This window comes from Homo sapiens, chromosome 16 (assembly GCF_000001405.40).
Source record: "Homo sapiens chromosome 16, GRCh38.p14 Primary Assembly".
Classification (NCBI taxonomy): domain Eukaryota; kingdom Metazoa; phylum Chordata; class Mammalia; order Primates; family Hominidae; genus Homo; species Homo sapiens.
Genome location: NC_000016.10, coordinates 56730095 through 56751145, shown reverse-complemented (window position 1 = coordinate 56751145; position 21051 = coordinate 56730095). Strand labels below are relative to the sequence as shown.

Genomic DNA, 21051 nt, shown 5'->3' with positions numbered 1-21051 from the left:
GAAAAATCTAGTGTGGTGTCTTTGGTGAGAAAAGAGGGATATGCAATTGATGATGGGCACCCTCCAACCTCCTGGGCTCAAGCAATCCTCCTACCTCAGCCTCCCGAGTAGCTGGGACTACAGGTGCGTGTCACCATGCCCAGCTAATTTTTTGTAGATGGGTTTTGCCATGTTGTCCAGGCTGGTCTTGAACTCCTGAGTTCAAGCGATTCATCTGCCTCAGCCTCCCAAAGTGCTGGGGTCACAGGCATGAGCCACGGCACCCAGCTCAATATTCTGTTTCAGTTGATAAAATGTGCACATGGGTATTCATTCATTTTATTATTTATACCAGGAGTCAGCAACCTTTTTCTGTAAACAGCAGATAGTAAACATTTCAGGCTTTGCAGGGCACATGATCTCTGTCAAAACTACTCAACTCTCATACTGTAGCACAAAAGCAGCACAGACAATACAAATAAGCCTGGCTGTGTTCCAATAAAACTTTAAGGCTGTATGTGGCTCATGGGCTGTAAAACCCGATTTACATTTTTATATATGTTAAGCATACTCTTCTTCATGTGTGAAAAAATTTAACAATTGTAAAAGATCAAACCACACACGTAAAAAAAGCTATCAAAGCTATTCTCTAAAACAAAATATTCAACACAGTGTATTTGGACAAATAAATAAATTTGGCACATAACATTTCAATCTTAAATCTTACAATCTAAAATCTTAAAGACAGAATTTTCTTTCAAAACTTATTTCATGTAAGAAAATTTTTCCTACTCAGTTCTCTCTTCTGCCCTCATCTTGTATGTACTAAAATATTCACACCACACTTTATGTCTCTGCCTATCAAGAAGATGGAAAAACACAGTCATCAGCCCTTTGGTTTCTTTTTAAGCACCTGCCCCACCCTATGCCCATTCTTTCAACATTCCAACTTCCTCCTCCCTAAAATAATGAATTTAAGGTAGAAAGAAATGAAAAAGAATGGAAATTTACAAGAGAGCATGACCGATAATTGTTACCAAGAAAACATTTTCCCTTTTTGCTCTTAATAGGCTGTAAAGCTGATGCAATTAAATTATAACTATAGCAACTAAGATGGCATCATGGGCCTTTCGCTCCAGCAGTATCTTTGCATACAGCACAGAGCCTGCATGCTCAAGACTGGGGGTAACTGCAGGCAGCCAGGAGTAGCAGGTAAGGAGCCTGCAGGGAAGGCAAGTTAGCAGAAGTGTCTAAAGGCTGGTTGGGCTGTGAGAAAGCAGTGTAGGGAAGCAGTTGGCTGCATTTAGCTGCAAGGCTGCAGGGTAAAAAATCCCTGCCAGGGTTCCTCTGATTTGCCTTTACCAATGCCAACAGAACCAAAACCAACTAGTTATTTTAGAAAATAACATTTTGGGGAGGTCTACAGAAGAATTTCCACAACATCCTTACTGACTCGACAGAGCAGCCAAAACATTCAGCTCTCAAGAACAAGAATGTAGCCCACTCCTACATAATACTCCTGTGACATCTGTTAAATGCTTAGAGCAGACGATGTCCCACATTAACACCAGCACTTAGTTCTTTCTCAAGTTCAAGGGATGAAGACTGAGGAGATGACCGACAATTTTCCATATTTCCTGCACAGAATCTCAGTGTCTTTCCGGACCCATCAAAGGCACAAGTAGCAGCACCCTCTCCATCCTCCCATGCCCTTCCATCACAATCAGAGGAGTATGCACTCTGGAGTCAACCTCACTAGGTTTGAATCCTGACTTTACCACTCGCCAGCTGTGTGATCTGGAAGAGTTACTTGACTTCTCTGAGCCTTTGTTGCTCAACTCTAATGTGGAGATTGTAGCCTAATGATGGTTGTGAAAATTAAGCAAAATCTCACGTCTAGCCAAGCTTGTAACACACAGTAAATAACCAGTAAATCACATTTCTTAAGGAAAGCAGCATAGTTTTTTTCTGCCCCACTCCCCACATTATAAGCTCCTTGAGAGCAAGAACCATGTCTAATTCATGGCTGTCACCCCAGAGATGGTCCAGACCTGGCACAGCGTGGACCTTAAACACGTTTGTGGAATCAACAGCCCAACTGATGCTGTGTGGCAGCAGTGGCTGCCAGCTCAGTCAGTCAGCACTTTTCCCCAGCTGCACTCTCTTAGGGCTCACCCACTCTCCTGTTCTACAATCAGCTGGGGGCACTGTATTTCCAAGGCCTTTCAGAAGCAGCCTCCCGGGTCACTGACAACAAGCAGACAGAATCACTCCTCACTTGGATGGTTTCTCATCACTAACTGCTCATCAATTTCTTCCAAATGCTCTTAAAAACTGTCCTCATCACTGAGTGCTCTCTAGCTTTGAAGGTAAAACTTATCTGTGGGGTCCATACGTATTAACATAACGGGAGCCATTTATGACCCAATGATCATTGAACCCAAGCAGGAACTTCTGTGACCAGATTCAGCATGACAGGGCTCTTTCACCCCCTCCCACCTTGTGATCATCTCTCCCTGTGATATCAGCTCATAACTTGGTGAGGCAGACAGGCTAGAAAACCTGAGAGGCAGGGAAACAAACCAAGGCTGCTGTCCTGTTTACAACACTTTCTGAGTTCCCAAGAATCTGGCTAGTGGCTGTCATTCACAGATTGGATCTGAATTCAAGGCAGGAAAGAAGAAACAGATCCTGCCCGCAAGCCACCCAGTACTAATGCTGTCTCCCTACCAGTACTCACGCCTTGACATCTGCCGTCTCCTGGGACGTGCGTGTTAGGGTACGGGAACGCAGGCGCTCTCCCGCCTGCTGGATCTCCTGTAAGTTCCGTTCCACATGGGGAAGCTCTGAGATGCCCTCAGTCTCAGCAGCAAGCTGTTCAGCTTGCTGAAGGAGCTCACCAAACCCCTCAGTATCCATTGGAGATGCAGATCCTAGATGGGAGAAAAAATGAAAAGATCTAAATCAAGGGAAAGACAGGTTTCAAACACTGCCTGAATCTGTTACAAGCTTAACAAAACAGCAGAACTTTTTGTAAACAGACGAGGACACAGCTCATCAACAAGCAGGATTTGTTCCTGAACATAGCCCAAGAACAGGCCTGACAGAGAAAATGAGTCAGGCTGTGAAAAAACAGATCATTTCTGTGCATATTGACAGCCCCAAGATTGATTTCTGCCATCAGAACAAATGCACAGATATCAAGTCACAGACCAGAATTCCTGTCTCCTTCCACAGACTCAAAGCAGGTAAGGAAATGGAAACCACTGTGGCACTCTAGGAGGCTTAAAGAACAGTCAACCTGCACCTCTTATTCTCCACCCATCTTAGAAAAACACTACCACCCTAAAAGCACCAGGCAATTTATAAGACCTTATGTCAAATGACCCTCATAACCACTCTGTGAGGAACAAAGAAAGAAGAACAAATTCCAATCCACAGAGGCTGAGTTACATGCCAAGAATACTCTCTACTGTGATTTGGCTGAACCAAGACCAGGAAAACAAAGGCATTCTTCGGACTAACCACCACTAACTCTCCCTCTCTCCCCTACTGTTATTCTAACACACCTGCTCCTTCACTAACATAGAAGAAATTCTTCTTTTTTTTTTTTTAATACTCATGTCCAGGTCTCCATTCACACATTCTTTATCTTACAAGGTTAATGAGAGCACAGATCTGTGCCTGCTTGTTATATATGACATTCGGGACATTAGATTTGTTACTGTACCTGCTACTTTTAGAAATGCCAGTAGTACAGAATATATACTGCACTATTCTTATATAAGGTTCTTGACCAAGAGAATGTTTTTAACTCCTACCACTAATTAAATCAACAGAAAATAAAAAGTAGCACCATGGTAAGAAAATTGGGCACAATGGCTCACGCCTGTAATCCCAGCACTCTGGGAGGCCGAGGCGGGCAGATCGCCTGAGGTCAGGAGTTCAAGACCAGCCTGGCCAACGTGGTGAAACCTCCATCTCTACTACAAATACAAAAATTAGCTGGGCATGGTGGCACACACCTATAATCCCAGCTACTCGGGAAGCTGAGGCAGGAGAATCACTTGAACCTGGGGGGCGGAAGAGTGCAGTGAGCCAAGATCACACCACTGCATTCCAGCCTGGGCAATAGAGTGAGACTCTGTCTTGGAAAAAAAAAAAAAAAATTACATTGCTAAAAGGTTAAGAAGAAAATCTTTCATTAAAAAAATTACTTGTACAATAGCTCTTGTTATACTTTTTTTCCTTCTTTTGGGAGACAGAGTCTCGCTCTGTCAGCCAGGCTGTTGTGCAGTGGTGTGATCTTGACTCAACGGCAACTTCCGCCTCAGATTCAAGCAATTCTCATGCCTCAGTCTCCCAAGTAGCTGGGATTACAGGCATGCACCACCACACCCAGCCGGGGTGACACTACCAGCTTTTTTGTATTTTTAGTAGAGATGGGTTTTGCCATGTTGGCAAATAATTATATGTCAGCTATGAAGCACAGGTTAATTGTCAAAAGGACACTGTTACTGCCATAAATCCATTAAGAACTTTTAAAAATGAGCATTAAAGGACATTAACTTTAAAGGCAAAGGCAAAAGGTTAAAAATAGCTCAGCTGGAGTAAACATAAAGACACTTTGGTATTCTTTATGAAGTTCCAAGCTGACTTTAATCTTCAACAAAAATTCACGTACACAATAACTCTTAACCTCAAGTTTCTAAACAAATATTGTAATTTTTTTGACCCATATAATCAGGCTGTAATTCGCAATCTTTATTGTGAGAAAATGGAGATGAGAGAATTAGGAAGGTATCCTCAGGGAGAGAGAAGGAAACACAAGAATTTTGAGAAGAGGGGCATTTTTAAACAACTACTCCGGCCTGATAGAGAAATGTGTTTTCTCAGGAATGTTCAAGGCCAATGACATTCTACTAATTACACGAAACCATGGTCATTCACCAGAAAGGGAAAAGAAAAACAAAGCATTCCCTTCTCCAGAACCCCACCCCACCCCTCCGCCCATTATTTTTACTCTAAGATAAAAATAATTTTTCTAACAGAGTCAAGGAAAAGAAAATACTTTTTTCTTTCATGAGGAAAACTTTGGAAATCCCTAAATAAAGAACTGAATGAAGCAAAACTTTTCTATGATTAAAAAAGAAGACAAAAAAAGATAAAGGAAGAAAGAAATACAACTAATATTTCATTCCTACGTCAGACAAAGGAAATGCTCACCTTCTCAAATGACCAGCCCACCCCCAAGATTTTGAGCAATGAATTTAAGTAATTAATACAGAATCAGTCATTTACTTTAACATGGTCTAATAAAGATTTTTTTAAGTTAATTATATAGAATTGTTTTTGACAATGGTAAAATAAAGGTTGAATCTCTGAACAACATCCTAAACGTAATATCCCAAAACTGGGCTCTAACTTTTCATCCACAAAACCTGCCCCTTGGCCTTCTCACTGTGTGAAGACTTCATTATTCAGTTGCTTGGACCAAAACCCATGATGGCCCCATAACTCACATCCTACATCCAATCAACCAACAAAGCCTTTCAAATCTACCTTCAAAATATATCCAGAATCTGCCTGTCCTTGCCATCTCTACCTAGACACCTCCCCACATCCAAGCTGCCTCCCTAGACTCTCTCAGCAGTCTCCCTCCCTAACCTCCCAGCTTCAGCCCTTGCCTCCCACAGTCTATTCAGTCTATAGCAACCCAGCAACCAGTGATCCTTTTACAGTCAGTCAGATCACATCCCTCCTGCTTAAATCTCTTGTACAGAATGAAACCGTACAAAAGGGGCCCCACCCCCCCTCATCACTCAGACTCATCTCCAGCCCTATCTCCACTCCTTTCATGGGTGCCAGCCACTCTGGGGCCTCTTTGCTGGTCCCCAACAGATCAGGCACATTCCTGCCTTACAGCCTTTGCACTCCGTGTTTCCTCTACTGGAATGCTCCTCCCCCAGAAACACTCAAGGCTGACTCCCTATCTGTTTCGGCTCACCTGTCACTCTGCCTTTGAGGCCAACCTAGAAAGCTATTTAAAAATACAAGCCACCCCCAGCAATCCCCCATCTCCTTTACTGTCTGTCACCTCTGCGAGAATATAAGCTGCACAAGCACAGTGTTTTGTTCACTGACGTACCCAAGCTTCTACAACAGTGCCTGGCACATAGCAGGTACTCATTTTTTGAATGAATAGGAGGTGTTTTTTCTTCCGTTGGTGAGAGTCTGTCCTTCTCAAAGGCTTCCTGCACTCCTTTGCCAAATGGGCACCCACTAGCAAGCAGAGATCTGAACAGAAACATTCCCTTCCAGTTGGTATCAGACTACCAACTGATACTTAACATTTCTGAGGCAGCACAGCATAAGGCAGTGACAGTCTAAATGGCATGAATTCATATCACACTTGGTCCAGACTAGTGCTTTCCCTCTAAATACCAAGACCAAAAACCAGGTGAACGGAATTACAAACCAAAAGAAACAGATATATATAGAAAGAATTTTGCTACATAACTTCAGGGTAGAAGTAAAAAGAAAATAAGCTTGTTCCACATCTGCACAGAAGAAGAGAGATATGTATGAAATACTATATTTGGGAAAAACTGGATCTGTCCTGCATTATTACTCAATCAGTAGAAATTAATTATACAAAAAAGTTTTATTAAAGTTTCCAAATTTATACATTTTTTGTTACCATCATTGTGCAATTAAATCTATACTTTGATATATTAATCATCCCACTGCGCTAAAATGCTTCAATTTATGGCTAATTTCATAAATTTAGGACAATTTTTATCCTCACCACAAAATATCAATTTAGCCACAAAATAGAGAGATTAAACCACTAAATCAACTTTGACCCAAGAGACTAAAAACTAATCATGAAAATAACCTCGGTAAGCTTTGTCCAGCAGAAACAATTAAAATGATCTATGGGGGAAAAAAATTGAAGTCCAAGCCATGTGTTGGGAAAATCTGGCCATGTAGCCTGGACACCAGCTGCATCCTTGGGGAACTATGGAGGAGAGGCACAGGAAGAAGCAACACTAAGAAACCACGGAAGCAGGACCCGGAGCAGTCAATGCAGCACAATTGGGGCTGGACAGGAAAAGGCCAGCAGGGACAGCAGAACAGCACTAGGGCTCCTCTATGACAGCAGTGACTAAGCCCTTGAGCGTGATTGGGAATCTTTTGGCAAGGCAACACTGGCAGGCACTTCAGAGAGCATCGCAAAGTATCAGGGCCTTGGGCAACAAATTACTCTCCCTATAAGTAGGACTTGGCAGAAGTGCTACTGAGCCTCCACAGAAACTCCTCAACAACCTGGGCAACTGAGAACCTTAAAATGAATGGCAAACTTATCACTGCTGTTAGAAGGCAGGATTGGTTACACTTGTGGGAGGAAGGACAGAAGTGGAAGGATGAGGAAGGCTTCAAGGGGGCTGGCAATTTTCAGTTTTTTGATCTAACCGTTGGTTGATAGTATGCTCACTTTTCAGAAAATTAGTCAATCTAGACCCATGATTTGTGCATCATACTTCAATAAAAAGCTCCCCGCCCCACTGCTGCTGCCAATCAAACAAAGGACAATGACCCACCTTTTTTCAGAAGCTGCAGTAGGATACCCCACTATGCTAAAAATAAGGAATGTTCTCAGTGGGAAGCTCCCATAATGCAGATCTCTTCACCACACCTAGAGGATGCTGAGCAAATTAACTAAATGAAAAAAGTAAAACCCACAGTTTGAAAGAGAGGGCTCCTACCTAGAGCTAAACCAAGGGCTGGCCAAACTTCTACTTCCTCATGCTGGTCTGCGTTCACCTGTCATTTAGTGTCTAAAACACATGTCCCTTTAGGGCATATCAACATTCATAAATGAGGTGGAAAGAAAATTCCCAAACTGCATATAAGGTGAAATGAACTAAATATAAAGGCAGAGCAAAAATGCACAAAATAATTTCAGTTCATTTACTATTAACATGTGAGTCTTATGAAAAATAAAATCATTTCCACATTCTGAATATAATAACTATGTTAAATATTTAATCGAGCTAGAAAGAGTAGATACCTAAATATTCAAACAGCCAAGCACTTCTAAACCATTGTAAATCAGTATTCTCAAAGAGTGGCCCCCTTCAGGATTTTGTAGATGGTCTGAATCTTAATCTGTTATAGTATTCATGCTTATTATATTAAAATCCCACATATCTGTTTTCTGATATTATTAGTTCATTGGTTTCTTTTATTTTTAAAGCATCAGCCATGAGTAGAATACCTCTCTTCCTTTACTCAGGGCTTATGGACTCTCAAGCTGGGGAATCACTGAGTCATCCCAGAAATAGCTGTTACTCACTAGTTCTCTAGACTTAAGCCTATGTTACTCCCAGGATATACTCCAGAAAATTAAAGCACCAAAGCTACAAAGGGAAAAGGAAAATGAAACAAAGGAAGCTACAAAAGAGCCTCAGAGCCATCCATCCTAGACATATCTGCCAAACACTTGCCCAGTTTCTAGTATCCTAGGGCAAGAGTGAGCAAACTTCTTCTGTAAAAGGACAGGTAGTGAATAGTTCGGGCTTTGTAGGCCAGGCTCTGTAGCAACTACTCAACTGTGCTGTTGTAGCTTGAAAGCAGGCATAGATAATATGTAAACCAACAGGCGTGGCTGTACTTTAATAAAACATTAATCATGAACACTAAAATTTGAGTTTCATATAATTTTCACATGGTTATAAAATATTTTTCTCTGGATTATTTTTCCCCCAAGGATCCAAAGACGTAAAAACCCTTCTTAGTTTATTTGGCACATAGGCCATAGTTTGCCAACTCTTGGGCCTAAGGTATTTAAGCTAGACTTGATAAGTAAGCTACCCTAACTAGGCCCCCGTGTGAAAACACTGTTAAAAAGATAAAATGAGTGACACAATAGGTGTGTTGCCATCTCGTTTCCTCTTTAAACTGTTCATTTGGAGAGCATATTTGGGGAAGAAATCTGTTTTGTAAATGATGATGCCTGTCCCATTGACCTAATGCACAGGATGCTAAAGGGAATCCACTGCTCTTTGTAAGTATAATGCAACATATTAAACCCATGTGAATTTTCCCTTTTCCTTATCACCCACAATCCAAACAGCCCAGTTATGCAAGAAATACAAAGGGCTGAGAAAAAGATGAAAGAATAAAGACAAAGCCATCTGTCTTTTCTTCCATGTTAAAGAAATCTCTCTCCATTCACTGACTTGCATGGGGAGATGACACCAGCTATTTTCCTGCAGAATTTCAATATAATCAAACAATACTGACTGAGGAATTCTAATTTAGTAAAATGTATGTAGTAACATACCCAAATATTGTCTCTTTCAACTTCAAAGATCATGCAACCTAAAAAAGACAGTTGTTAGCACTGCTATTTTTTTTGATGTTGTCAAAGGGGGAGATTTTATATACATCAGAGAAAGTAACAGATGTTGCTATTTATATCCTTTCTTCCAAATGTACAACTGACAATGATCTTCCTTTTTTGATTATTTTAAATAATTATTTTTGATTATTTTCGATATTTTAAATAATAACAGTAAAATAACAGTAAACAGTACTGTTTTTAATAACAGTAAAAGAAATGGAAAATAAAAACATATTTTAGACGGAATGGGTGAGAAGATTACACTGTGAACCCAAACACCTGGTTCCAATCCAGACTGTTCATTTACTAGCAGATAAACTGATTTACCTCTGAGATAAAACCCCAATTTCTCTGTCTCAATTTCCTCATCAATCAAAAATGGTAATTCCTACCTACTTCAAGGAGTTGTTGATACATAAAATTATCTTATAAACTCTGCTGATTTATATCATTGTAAAATGCTATTTTAGCTTTTTTCCCAAGTTGCCAATTTGGCAACATTTTATCATTTAATTATAAACATCTCTGCTTCAAAAAATCTTTTAGTAAATATTTAATCCCAAATTATAACTTATTTAATCACAACTTTATATCATTAAGTAAGAACTTCTGGAAGACAATTAAAATGTTTAAATGTATGTTGTATTGCCCACTACCAAATATGCTTTTTATTATAAATCCAGATTTCCATAATGAAGGTGTGATTCAAAAGAAATTTAGCGCTCTCCCTCTCCCTCTCCCTCTCCCTCTCCCCACGGTCTCCCTCTCATGCGGAGCCGAAGCTGGACTGTACTGCTGCCATCTCGGCTCACTGCAACCTCCCTGCCTGATTCTCCTGCCTCAGCCTGCCCAGTGCCTGCGATTGCAGGCTCGCGCCGCCACGCCTGACTGGTTTTGGTGGAGACGGGGTTTCGCTGTGTTGGCCGGGCCGGTCTCCAGCCCCTAACCGCGAGTGATCCGCCAACCTCGGCCTCCCGAGGTGCCGGGACTGCAGACGGAGTCTCGTTCACTCAGTGCTCAATGGTGCCCAGGCTGGAGTGCAGTGGCGTGATCTCGGCTCACTACAACCTACACCTCCCAGCCGCCTGCCTTGGCCTCCCAAAGTGCCAAGATTGCAGCCTCTGCCCGGCTGCCACCCCGTCTGGGAAGTGAGGAGTGTCTCTGCCTGGCCGCCCATCGTCTGGGATGTGAGGAGCCCCTCTGCCTGGCTGCCCAGTCTGGAAAGTGAGGAGCGTCTCCGCCCGGCCGCCATCCCATCTAGGAAGTGAGGAGCGCCTCTTCCCAGCCGCCATCACATCTAGGAAGTGAGGAGCGTCTCTGCCTGGCCGCCCATCCTCTGAGATGTGGGGAGCGCCTCTGCCCCGCCGCCCCATCTGGGATGTGAGGAGCGCCTCTGCCCGGCCGAGACCCCGTCTGGGAGGTGAGGAGCGTCTCTGCCCGGCCGCCCCGTCTGAGAAGTGAGGAGACCCTCTGCCCGGCAACCACCCCGTCTGAGAAGTGAGGAGCCCCTCCGCCCGGCAGCTGCCCCGTCTGAGAAGTGAGGAGCCTCTCCGCCCGGCAGCCACCCCATCTGGGAAGTGAGGAGCGTCTCCGCCCGGCAGCCACCCCGTCCGGGAGGGAGGTGGGGGGGTCAGCCCCCCGCCTGGCCAGCCGCCCCGTCCGGGAGGGAGGTGGGGGGGTGAGCCCTCCGCCCGGCCAGCCGCCCCGTCTGGGAGGTGAGGGGCGCCTCTGCCCCGCCGCCCCTACTGGGAAGTGAGGAGCCCCTCTGCCCGGCCAGCCGCCCCGTCCGGGAGGGAGGTGGGGGGGGTCGGCCCCCCGCCCGGCCAGCCGCCCCGTCCGGGAGGGAGGTGGGGGGGTCAGCCCCCCGCCTGGCCAGCCGCCCCGTCCGGGAGGGAGGTCGGGGGGTGAGCCCTCCGCCCGGCCAGCCGCCCCGTCTGGGAGGTGAGGGGCGCCTCTGCCCGGCCGCCCCTACTGGGAAGTGAGGAGCCCCTCTGCCCGGCCAGCCGCCCCGTCCGGGAGGGAGGTGGGGGGGTCGGCCCCCCGCCCGGCCAGCCGCCCCGTCCGGGAGGGAGGTGGGGGGGTCAGCCCTCCGCCCGGCCAGCCGCCCCGTCCGGGAGGGAGGTGGGGATGTCGGCCCCCCGCCCGGCCAGCCGCCCCATCCGGGAGGGAGGTGGGGGGGTCAGCCCCCCGCCCGGCCAGCCGCCCCGTCCGGGAGGGAGGTGGGGGGGGGTCAGCCCCCCCGCCCGGCCAGCCGCCCCGTCCGGGAGGTGAGGGGTGCCTCTGCCCGGCCGCCCCTACTGGGAAGTGAGGAGCCCCTCTGCCCGGCCAGCCGCCCCGTCCGGGAGGGAGGTTGGGGGGTCAGCCCCCCGCCCGGCCAGCCGCCCCGTCCGGGAGGGAGGTGGGGGGGGTCAGCCCCCCTGCCCGGCCAGCCGCCCCGTCCGGGAGGTGAGGGGCGCCTCTGCCCGGCCGCCCCTACTGGGAAGTGAGGAGCCCCTCTGCCCGGCCACCACCCCGTCTGGGAGGTGTGCCCAACAGCTCATTGAGAACGGGCCAGGATGACAATGGCGGCTTTGTGGAATAGAAAGGCGGGAAAGGTGGGGAAAAGATTGAGAAATCGGATGGTTGCCGTGTCTGTGTAGAAAGAAGTAGACATGGGAGACTTTTCATTTTGTTCTGCACTAAGAAAAATTCCTCTGCCTTGGGATCCTGTTGATCTGTGACCTTACCCCCAACCCTGTGCTCTCTGAAACATGTGCTGTGTTGTCCACTCAGGATTAAATGGATTAAGGGCGGTGCAAAAAAAAAAAAAAAAGAAATTTAGCATTTAATTTTAAGCAGAAACTCTGCCCTCAAACCTTATTAATCAGACTATGACAGGAGTAAAACACAAGAATGGTGTTCAACATTCTTGTGAATGATTCTTTCTTTTCTCATCCAAGATTGATGAGAAAAACCTCCACCCAAGGTATCAAAAGTTTAATACTGATTCTGTTCTCCTCTCTTTTGAATACATAAACTAGCTAGATGACAATATCATTCCACTTTTTACTATTATCTGTCAGCTGTCAATTACAACAACAACCCCAAAAAAATTAAATCTTGACAGACATCATTGTTTCAGATGCCTCTGGAAGAGAGAGGAGAGGGAAAAAAAAATTGTTGGAAAGTTCTTTACAGCCCTGTGAGACTAAGTAAAAGAGACCTTATCATTATTCAAAAGGTAGAGTTCTGGAGAAAACAAAGACCTAAAATAAATTAACCTAGACAGAAGAAAAAGACTTGGGTGATTTAGTAGCAGTACTGCCCTCAGTGACTCAATGTTTGCAATAAGGAATGGGTAGTATCAGCTTTCCTGATACATAAAATATCACTTGTATTATTTCCTCTTCAATGAGCAAAGAGAAGTAATAACCTGGCATCACAAAGAAAAATAAATTATCCACATAGTAACTTTCTGATAAACTCTTGGCTGTCCAGCAGAAGGCCCAGCTGGGAAGAAAGTGCTGTGGACTACAGCTTGGCTCCATCCCACGCCAGCCCTCTGACCCTGGGGCTGGATCGTCTCTGGATGAGGGGGTTGCTCAGGTGATCTCTAAGGGCCTGCTCACCTTAAAGAATTTACAAATGTGAGATGTTTTAATTCGGTCTTTAAACTTACTTGATGCTTCCTGGGAAACAGCCCCATTTTAGTGGTGATGGAAATTATCTCTACAGAGAACCTTAGGAATGATACTAGTTCTGTCTTACAACTAGCATAAACAGGGGCAGATCACCAAGTCGGCCCCAAAGGGCCTGTGGCTTTGGCTCTGGCTCTGGCTCTTCTCTCTAAACCAATGCTACTCAACTTTGCCCCACAGGGGACATTCAGCAATAGCTAGAGACATTTTTGGTTGTCACAACTTGGGAGGCAGAAGGTGTGCGGATTCTAACAAAAGTCTGGGTCCCTACCATTATAATTTTAAAACCATTGCATTTACAGAATTATCCCACTTGGGCTTTTTATGGCAGTATATTCATACCTTGGTATACCACACACAGCAATGGAAAAGAAACTACAGACTACACAGAACATGGATGAATTTCACAGACATCACAATGAGCTGAAGAAGCCAGATACAAAAAGAAAAAAAAAAAAGCACCGTATGACTCCATTTATATGGATCTTAAAAACAGAAAAAATGAATCTATGGGACTAAAGATCAGAATACTGGTTATCCTTGGGAGTGTAGGGGGAGTGCTGATTGGGAGAAAGCACAGCAGAGCTTTTCGGGTACTAAGGACTGAACTGTATTCTCTCAGAATTCCTGTGTTGAAGCCCTACCCCACAATGTGATGCTATTTGGAGATGGGGTCTTTGGGAAGTAATTAGACTCAGATGAGGTGACGTGGGTGGGGTCTTCAGGATGGGATAAGTGCCCTTAGACACACCAGAAAGCTTGCTTTCCTCCACCTACCTCTCCCCACACATACACATCAAAGAAAGGTCTTGACTACACACTGAGCAGCGAGGAAGAGGGCCCTCACCAGAACCCAACTATGCTGGCATCCTGATCTCGGACTTCCAGCCTCCAAAACTGTGAGGAAATAAATTTCTGTTTAAGCCAGAACAACAGATATTTTGATATTTTATTATGGTGATCTGAGCTGACCAAAGTACCAGAAATGCTTTATATTTCAATATGGACAGTGGTCACATAAGTGAATAAATGTGTAAAAATTCCCTAAGCTGTATACTTAAGGTTGACTCACAGTTTTTTAGAAGGAATAGCAAGAAACAAAGCACTGACTTAGCAAGAAACAACCTAGCATTACCAAGGTGAGAGTTGGGAGACTTTTCTACTTTTCATTTGATTCCCTTGTCAGGGCAAATTCTTTTCCATGAGTATATGTGATCTTACATAATTTTTAATAACTTGTTAATTTTAATATTGCTCTAAATTCCCTACTTCACAGTGTGTGTCTCACCACTGCCCTTGAAGACTCAATGGCAATGACTGTCAAATCCACACCTGCCCCCGTGCACTCAAACTCCAACCGTGAGTTTCCAGGCACCACTGGTGCATCTCCTCTCAAGCACATAACTGTCACACCCACCATGTCTCCAAATGCAGTTATCCACCCCCAACTCCTCCTCCGCCTCTGCCCCTGGCTTCTGTCTCCCAGGTTCTAACTCACCCTGTTCCTTTGCATCTCTGTGTTACCTCAGATTGTTTACTTACAGGTGTCCCTCCACTCTCAGACTCAGAAACCAAACACATGTAGATACATTTTTCCATAGCAAGCAGGCAGGTATTCCTCATTATCCAAACTATTGCTACTCTCTAACTAAAACTCAGGAAACGAAATACTACAGACTCAGATAACATGATATTCCTCACTCTCCAAACTCTCATTACCGAAACAGATTATTTATTTATTTATTTTTGAGATGGAATCTCGCTTTGTTGCCCAGGCTGGAGTGCAATAGCGTGATCTCAGCTCACTGCAACCTCCACCTCCCGGTTTCAAGCAATTCTCCTGCTGACTCAGTCTCCTGGGTAGCTGGGATTACAGGCACGTGCCATCACGCCAGGGTAATTTTTGTATTTTTAGTAGAGATGGTGTTTCACCATGTTGGCTAGGCTGGTCTTGAACTCCTGACCTCAGGTGATCTGCCTGCCTCAGCCTCCCAAAGTGCTGGCCTTACAGGCGTGAGCCACTGCACCCAGCTCCTAAACAGATTTAAATAGCATGGGGTATTTATATTTTTGCAACATCCTCTAACTATTGCTTTCATCCCCATCACTACCACCTAAGGCCAGACCTTCATTCCTTTAAGTCTAAGTCCTTCTTACATGCTAGAACATGGGCTTCCTCCTCCTAGCCCTGCCCCCAACTCTATGCACCCTACTCTCTGTGGCCACCTCTAGCTTCCTTTTTTTTTTTTTTTGAGACGGAGTTTCACTTTTGTCCCCCAGGCTGGAGTGCAATGATGAGATCTCAGCTCACTGCAACTTCCACCTCCCAGGTTCAAGCGATTCTCCTGCCTCAGCCTCCCGAGTAACTGGGATAACAGGCACGCACCACCATGCCCAGCTAATTTTTGGGGTTTCACCATGTTTGCCACGCTGGTCTCGAACTCCTGACCTCAAGTGATCCGCTCGCCTTGGCCTCCCAAAGTGCTAGGAATACAGGCGAGGGCCACTGCGCCCGACCCCATCTCTCTTTCTGACACGGCTGTTGCCCCTGCTCAAAAAACCTCACTGGCTCCCATTCACAGGGATCCATCCAGGTGAGTCACTGCTTTTAACTTTCTACCTCCCAGAATAAACCTTGTGTACCAGTCACTTGATTTACTTGGTCCCTGACTATCCTTGCACATGTCCTGCTCTGTGCCATTTTTCCCAAAAAGAAACACCTACCCAACCTTCCACTGCAGCCCTGAGCTCCAGCCAGCTCCTTCACTCTTTAGCTCGATGACTTTGGGCAAATTAATTACTCTCTCTGGGCCTCATCTGTGAAATGGAAAAATAACTGCATCTCCCTCACCTGTCACAAAGTAACCACTCAATAAACATTAGCTATCATTATTACCACCAACTCAAGTCCTACCTACCAAATGGTCTTCCTCAATACACATTACCTACAGAAAGTTTCCCTCATCTAAATTCCTTTTACTCCATTCATTTATTTGCCCGACATCATCTCCTGAGCTCTGTCTGTGTATGAGTCCCCACTATGGGCTTTATTTGTATAATCTAATGTCATCCTCACAGCAGACCTCTGGTGTCCAAAGGGACCAACTGGTACACAGGTTTTTCAGCAGGGCAACAGCCGTGTCAGAAAGATAGAGATGGGCACAGACAGTAGGGTGCATGGAGTGGGAGGGGTTAGGGGGAGGAAGGCCGTATTCTAGCATCTAACAAAGACTTGGACCTTCCCCATCTTCCTCATTTCAGTAAATAGTATCTTCATGCTAGAAGTTGCTCAGGTCTAAAACCGTGGCATTGTCCTTGACTTCTTTTCTCCTCTTATACCCTACATTAGCAATTCATTTCTACACTACATTTATTCATATATACATGAGTCAGACCCACTTTTTGTCTCTTCTACCACTATCATCCTGGTGCAAGCCACTCTCATGTGTCACATCTGGGTGATATAGTAGCTTCCTGTCTCCCTGTTCTTACTTTGTCCCCTCCCACTTCCCAGTCTGTTCTCCACACCACACTGGGAAGGATCCTCTAAAGGGGCTCAAACCTTCAATAGCCCCCGTCACTCACAGGCTGAGATCCAAAGTCCTTACCCTGTGCTGTGAGGCCTACATGACTGTCCCCGACCCAACTCCTTCTGTTACCACTCTTCCCCAGGATTATGTACTTTGGTCCTATGGCCTTCCACTCTTCTTCAAATATGCTAAATACACTGCTGACTTGGGCTTTCAGTCACTGTTTCCTCTGCATCTGCAGGAATATTCTCCTCCAAAATACCTACCTAGCTAACCCCCTTAATTCCTTCAAATCTCTGCTCAAAGGTTTCCTTTTTAAAGAAGCTTCTCAGCACACCCCAGCTAAAGCAGCCCCACCGTCCACTCTACCACATTTCTGTTTTACCTCGTTGGTAGTATGTTATCAATTTCTGGCATCACATGCCTACCTGTTTGTTCATTTATTGTCTGTCTCCTAACAGGCTCCTTGAGTCTGGGAACCTTGTCTGGTCTGTCCACAGCCCCATTCCCAGTACACTGAACAACAGCACCTAATGCTCAATAAATATGTGTTAAATGAATGAAGGAAGGAAGAGAAGACTATAACTTTGGTGTACCTAACAGATCAATGTAGGAATTTTTGGCAAGGTTTGAGAAAGTTTCTTCTGGCTTTTAGCAACTGTGTATGGGGGATCTAGCTGTTTGAGGACACAGTTGAAGCTATAAAAAAGTATAAAGCTATAAAATATTTCAAACGTTATGTTATTCAGGGGAGAAGAGATGGAGGTATTAACAGACATTAATACAAGGCAAATAAGTGAGCTAGGAGGACTCTAATCTATCAAAACAAAGGGGATTCTCATATCTCTATGTCCAGCCCAACTCTTTTCCCAAGCCAGTATTTCCAACTGTCCACCTAATACCTACACCTGGATGACTCATGGGTGCCTCAAACTACACATGTCCCAAATCAGACTCATCACTTCTCTCTCCTTAGCCACTGCCACCACCAATGCTTCCTTCTCGTGGGTTCCCAGTCTCTTTTCGTAAAACAATTAGCACACAGTCAGGTAAGCCAGGAACCACCTTCAAGTCACCCCAGCGCCCCTTTCACCTCCTCAACACTCAGCCAATCTCAAGCTCTACTTCTCAAACCTTTTGCAAAGTCATACCCTCATCTCTCGCCCCTTCTCTGACTTGCACGCCGACTAAGCCTTCTTGTTCCTCCAATCAACCTCCCCATGGTCAGGGAGGTCTTTCTGAAATGCTTTCCTGCCTTAAGTCCATCAGGGACACCTTCCATCCCCTACAGAATAAGATGCTCATGTTTTGACAGAGCTATAAAGGGTGCTCTCCATAGAACAGACACTGCCACCCTTACTATCCTCATCCCTCGCTGCCTTCCCCCAATTATATACCCTAGCAATTCTCTATTCTTTGGGGTGCCTGTTTCCTCCCTTCATACTCCTGTACATGCTAAGTACACACTCTCTATAACACATCCCCAACCCTATCTTGTCACATGGGGAACTCCTATGTATGCTGCAGCCAGCTGGGAAAGTCCCACCTATGCCAACCCCTCCCACACTACTCTGAATCTTCTATACTGTTCTTCCCTAGTGCAGCAGTTGTGATTATTTCATCACACATATGTCTCCCTCTCTAGTGGCAAATTTCCTATAGGGTAAGGTCCACAGATGCTCAACTCTGAGTCCTCAGCATTAAGTCTGGCACATAACAGGATCAGATACATATTTGTTGAATTAAAGTGACCTGTTCCCTGAACACACCAGTGAAAGATCTTCCCTCTAACTCCATATTCTTTAAATAAACTTTTTCATGAGGAGTGGGCCCTCTCACCTTCGGATCTTTGCTCCAACCTGTCCCCCTCCTTGGCACATCCATCTTTCTGTCAACCTTATTTTCTACATCAGTCTATGAAGAGGCTGGTTCAGACCCTCAGGCTCACCACATCTCCAGCTGTTCACACTGCACGGTCTTTGCACCTGCTCTACCCACTACCAGCAATGCTCTCAGATAGTCCCATGACCTGCTCATTCATTTCAAGCAGGTCTCTATTCAAATATCCCTGTCCTCCTTTAAGAAACAGCCCTGACATCACACTTCCTATCTGTGCTTTTATTGCTAGTGGTACCCTCCACAGGCTTATCAGTTCAATGAGGGCAGGCCTGTCTCATTCACCACTGCATCCCCATGCCTGCAAGAGTGCCAGTAACATTCATCTAGTTCATATTTTTTGAGCACCTACTGTGTGCCAGACCTAGGTGCTAGGAACACATCAGTGAACAAAACAGATAAAAATCCCCTCACTCACATTCTACAGGGGGAAGACAACAATACACAAGAAAAATACGTGAAATATAAGTGCTAAGAACAACTAAAGCAATGAAGGGAGGCGGGAAATGGGGAAAGCCTCACTAGGTGCCTCCCTAGTGAAGACCTGGAAGAAGTGAGTGCAAACTACATGGATATTAACTTGCAAGCACAAATGCCCTGAGGCTAAAGCATGTCTGACGTTTGGAAAGGGAGGGAGCAGAAAATGAGACTGGGAAAGTAACAGTGGGTCAGATTATGTAAAGCCTTATAGCTCACTGTAAAGGGGTTTGTCTATCATTATTAATGAGATGGGGACCCATTGGAGGGTTTTTTTTTTCTTTTAAGTAAAGGAATGATACGATCTGACAGCCTGTGTTTTAAAAAGATCCCTCTAGCTGCTGTGCAAAAAACAGGGGCCAGGACAGAAGCAGGAAGACCAAATGGGAAACTATTTCAATAATCCAAACCAGAGGTGGTGACCTGGCCCAGGGTGGCAAGTATTATTTGTGGCGTGAAAAACAGAAGACTGGGTGTGGTGGCCCACACCTGTAATTCCAACACTTTTGTGGGAGGCCGAAATGGGCGGATCACTTGAGGCCAGGAGTTCAAGACCAGCCTGGCCAACATGGTGAAATCCCGTCTCTACTAAAAATACAAAAATTAGCCAGGTGAGGTGGTACACGCCTGTAATCCCAGCTACTTGGGAGGCCGAAGTAGGAGAATCACTTGAGCCTGGGAGGCAGAGGTTGCAGTCACACGATGACACGAGATCGCACCACTGCACTCCAGACTGAGCGACCGAGGGAGACTGTCTCAAAAGAAAAAAAAAAAAAGGAAAGAAAAGAAAAAGAAAGACAGCAGTCAACGATGGCTCAAAAGTTATTAGCCAAGGTCTTTCCTATTATTGAGATGAGAAAAAAGAGGCAACAGGAGCAGTTTGGGGAGAGTAATGAAGGGGAGCTTGCTAGCCCTCTCTTGGCATGTTTAATTTGAGTTGCCTATAACCCATCTCAGTGGAGATATTAAGTGGGTGGCTGGATAAAAGTCAGGGGTGAGACCTGCGATGGAGATATAAATACGGAATCTGTTAGCCTCTGATATGTATGTATTTAATGCTATGAAATCACCATCAATGAAAATAAAAATATTGCAAACACAAATGCACAAAGGAGAATTTAAAGAAAAAAAAATAAAGAAGAAAAGCTAGGATGACCGAGGATACCCTCCCACATACCCTGGAAAGAATACAAAAAGGTGACCCTCGCTTTTGCTGAAAGACAACTCGGTCAAAATAAAAATTAAATAAATAAAACCTCCTTCCCACGTCTGGCAGAAGGGCAAATCCAGACCAGAGGCTCTGTCAACGTGTCTTTCATACTTTCACCAAGGACCCATGGGGTCGGCCCCATAATTTTTTCAAAAGAAACCCAGTGAACTTGGGCATCGCCTCTGCAGGGAACGGGATGGAGTAAGCACAGAGAAGGGTGGGCCACCCCTGGGTTCCAATCACCAGCATCCTCCTGGATGTACAAAAGGTAAGCCAAGGGTTGGGATAAGTTCCCCTCGCCCCAAAGACCCCTTCCCTCGCAGAGCAACGCCTCCCTACAGGGTGTGTCCACGAGGGGTAGGCAAGCAGGCAGGGCACGGTCAGGAAGGTAAGCAGGCGGGGCGTTGTGGCGCAGGCTTAGGCAGGGTGGGCTCGCGGGGCACGAGGTGGAGGTGAGGGCAGGGGCGTGGCGCGAGGGCACCACAGTGGGGAAGGGGGAGTCGGGAGGCCTAGGTTCTGCATTCAGAAAGTGGACGAATGAAAGGCACCCCCAGGGATGCAGCCCGACTCCAAGCCTCGGGGGCGGCTCGACAAGGCGTTGTGTCGCCGGCGTCAGGCGTGCCCGGCTGCCATGAGGAGAACGGGAAGTATGAGCGGCGGGGTTCCGAGCGTGGGGACGGCGCTCCACCCAGTCACGGGGTCCTGGGTTCAAGGACAAGCCCAGGGTCGCAAGGACGCGACCAGACACACCCTTACCTTGTGCTACAGCCGTCTCCGCCGCTCAGGTGCCGGCTTGAGGACGCGGCCGCCGCTTCTCGCGCCGCTCTCCCCCGCTTCCTGATTGGCCAAGGCTGGCCGCTCCCAGAAGCCCTC

The 21051-nt window shown here is 45.8% G+C and overlaps 1 protein-coding gene across 2 annotated transcripts in view, besides 1 other annotated feature; it reads right to left on the bottom strand.

Moving 5' to 3' along the window:
• NUP93 (nucleoporin 93) overlaps positions 1-21017 on the bottom strand; it is a 120158-nt gene extending 99141 nt beyond the window's left edge. Inside the window, exons 1-2 of one of the 2 annotated variants that reach the window (NM_014669.5) lie at positions 20935-21017; positions 2720-2912 (exon numbers count right to left, since the gene is read on the bottom strand). In NM_014669.5, the coding sequence (NP_055484.3) occupies positions 2720-2898 (179 nt within the window). In that variant the 5' untranslated portion in view covers positions 2899-2912; positions 20935-21017. Of the gene's footprint in view, positions 1-2719; positions 2913-3192; positions 3319-20934 lie in introns of those variants that run through there. The other variant, XM_005256263.4, reaches the window with a different exon arrangement.
• Positions 7075-7369: a silencer, noted in NCBI's record as "tiled region #1622; HepG2 Repressive non-DNase unmatched - State 14:Gen5', and K562 Repressive non-DNase unmatched - State 8:EnhW". NCBI's record gives its function as "represses a minimal TATA promoter and a strong SV40 promoter by Sharpr-MPRA in HepG2 and K562 cells {active_cell/tissue: HepG2 | K562}" and the evidence as "EXISTENCE:reporter gene assay evidence [ECO:0000049][PMID:27701403]".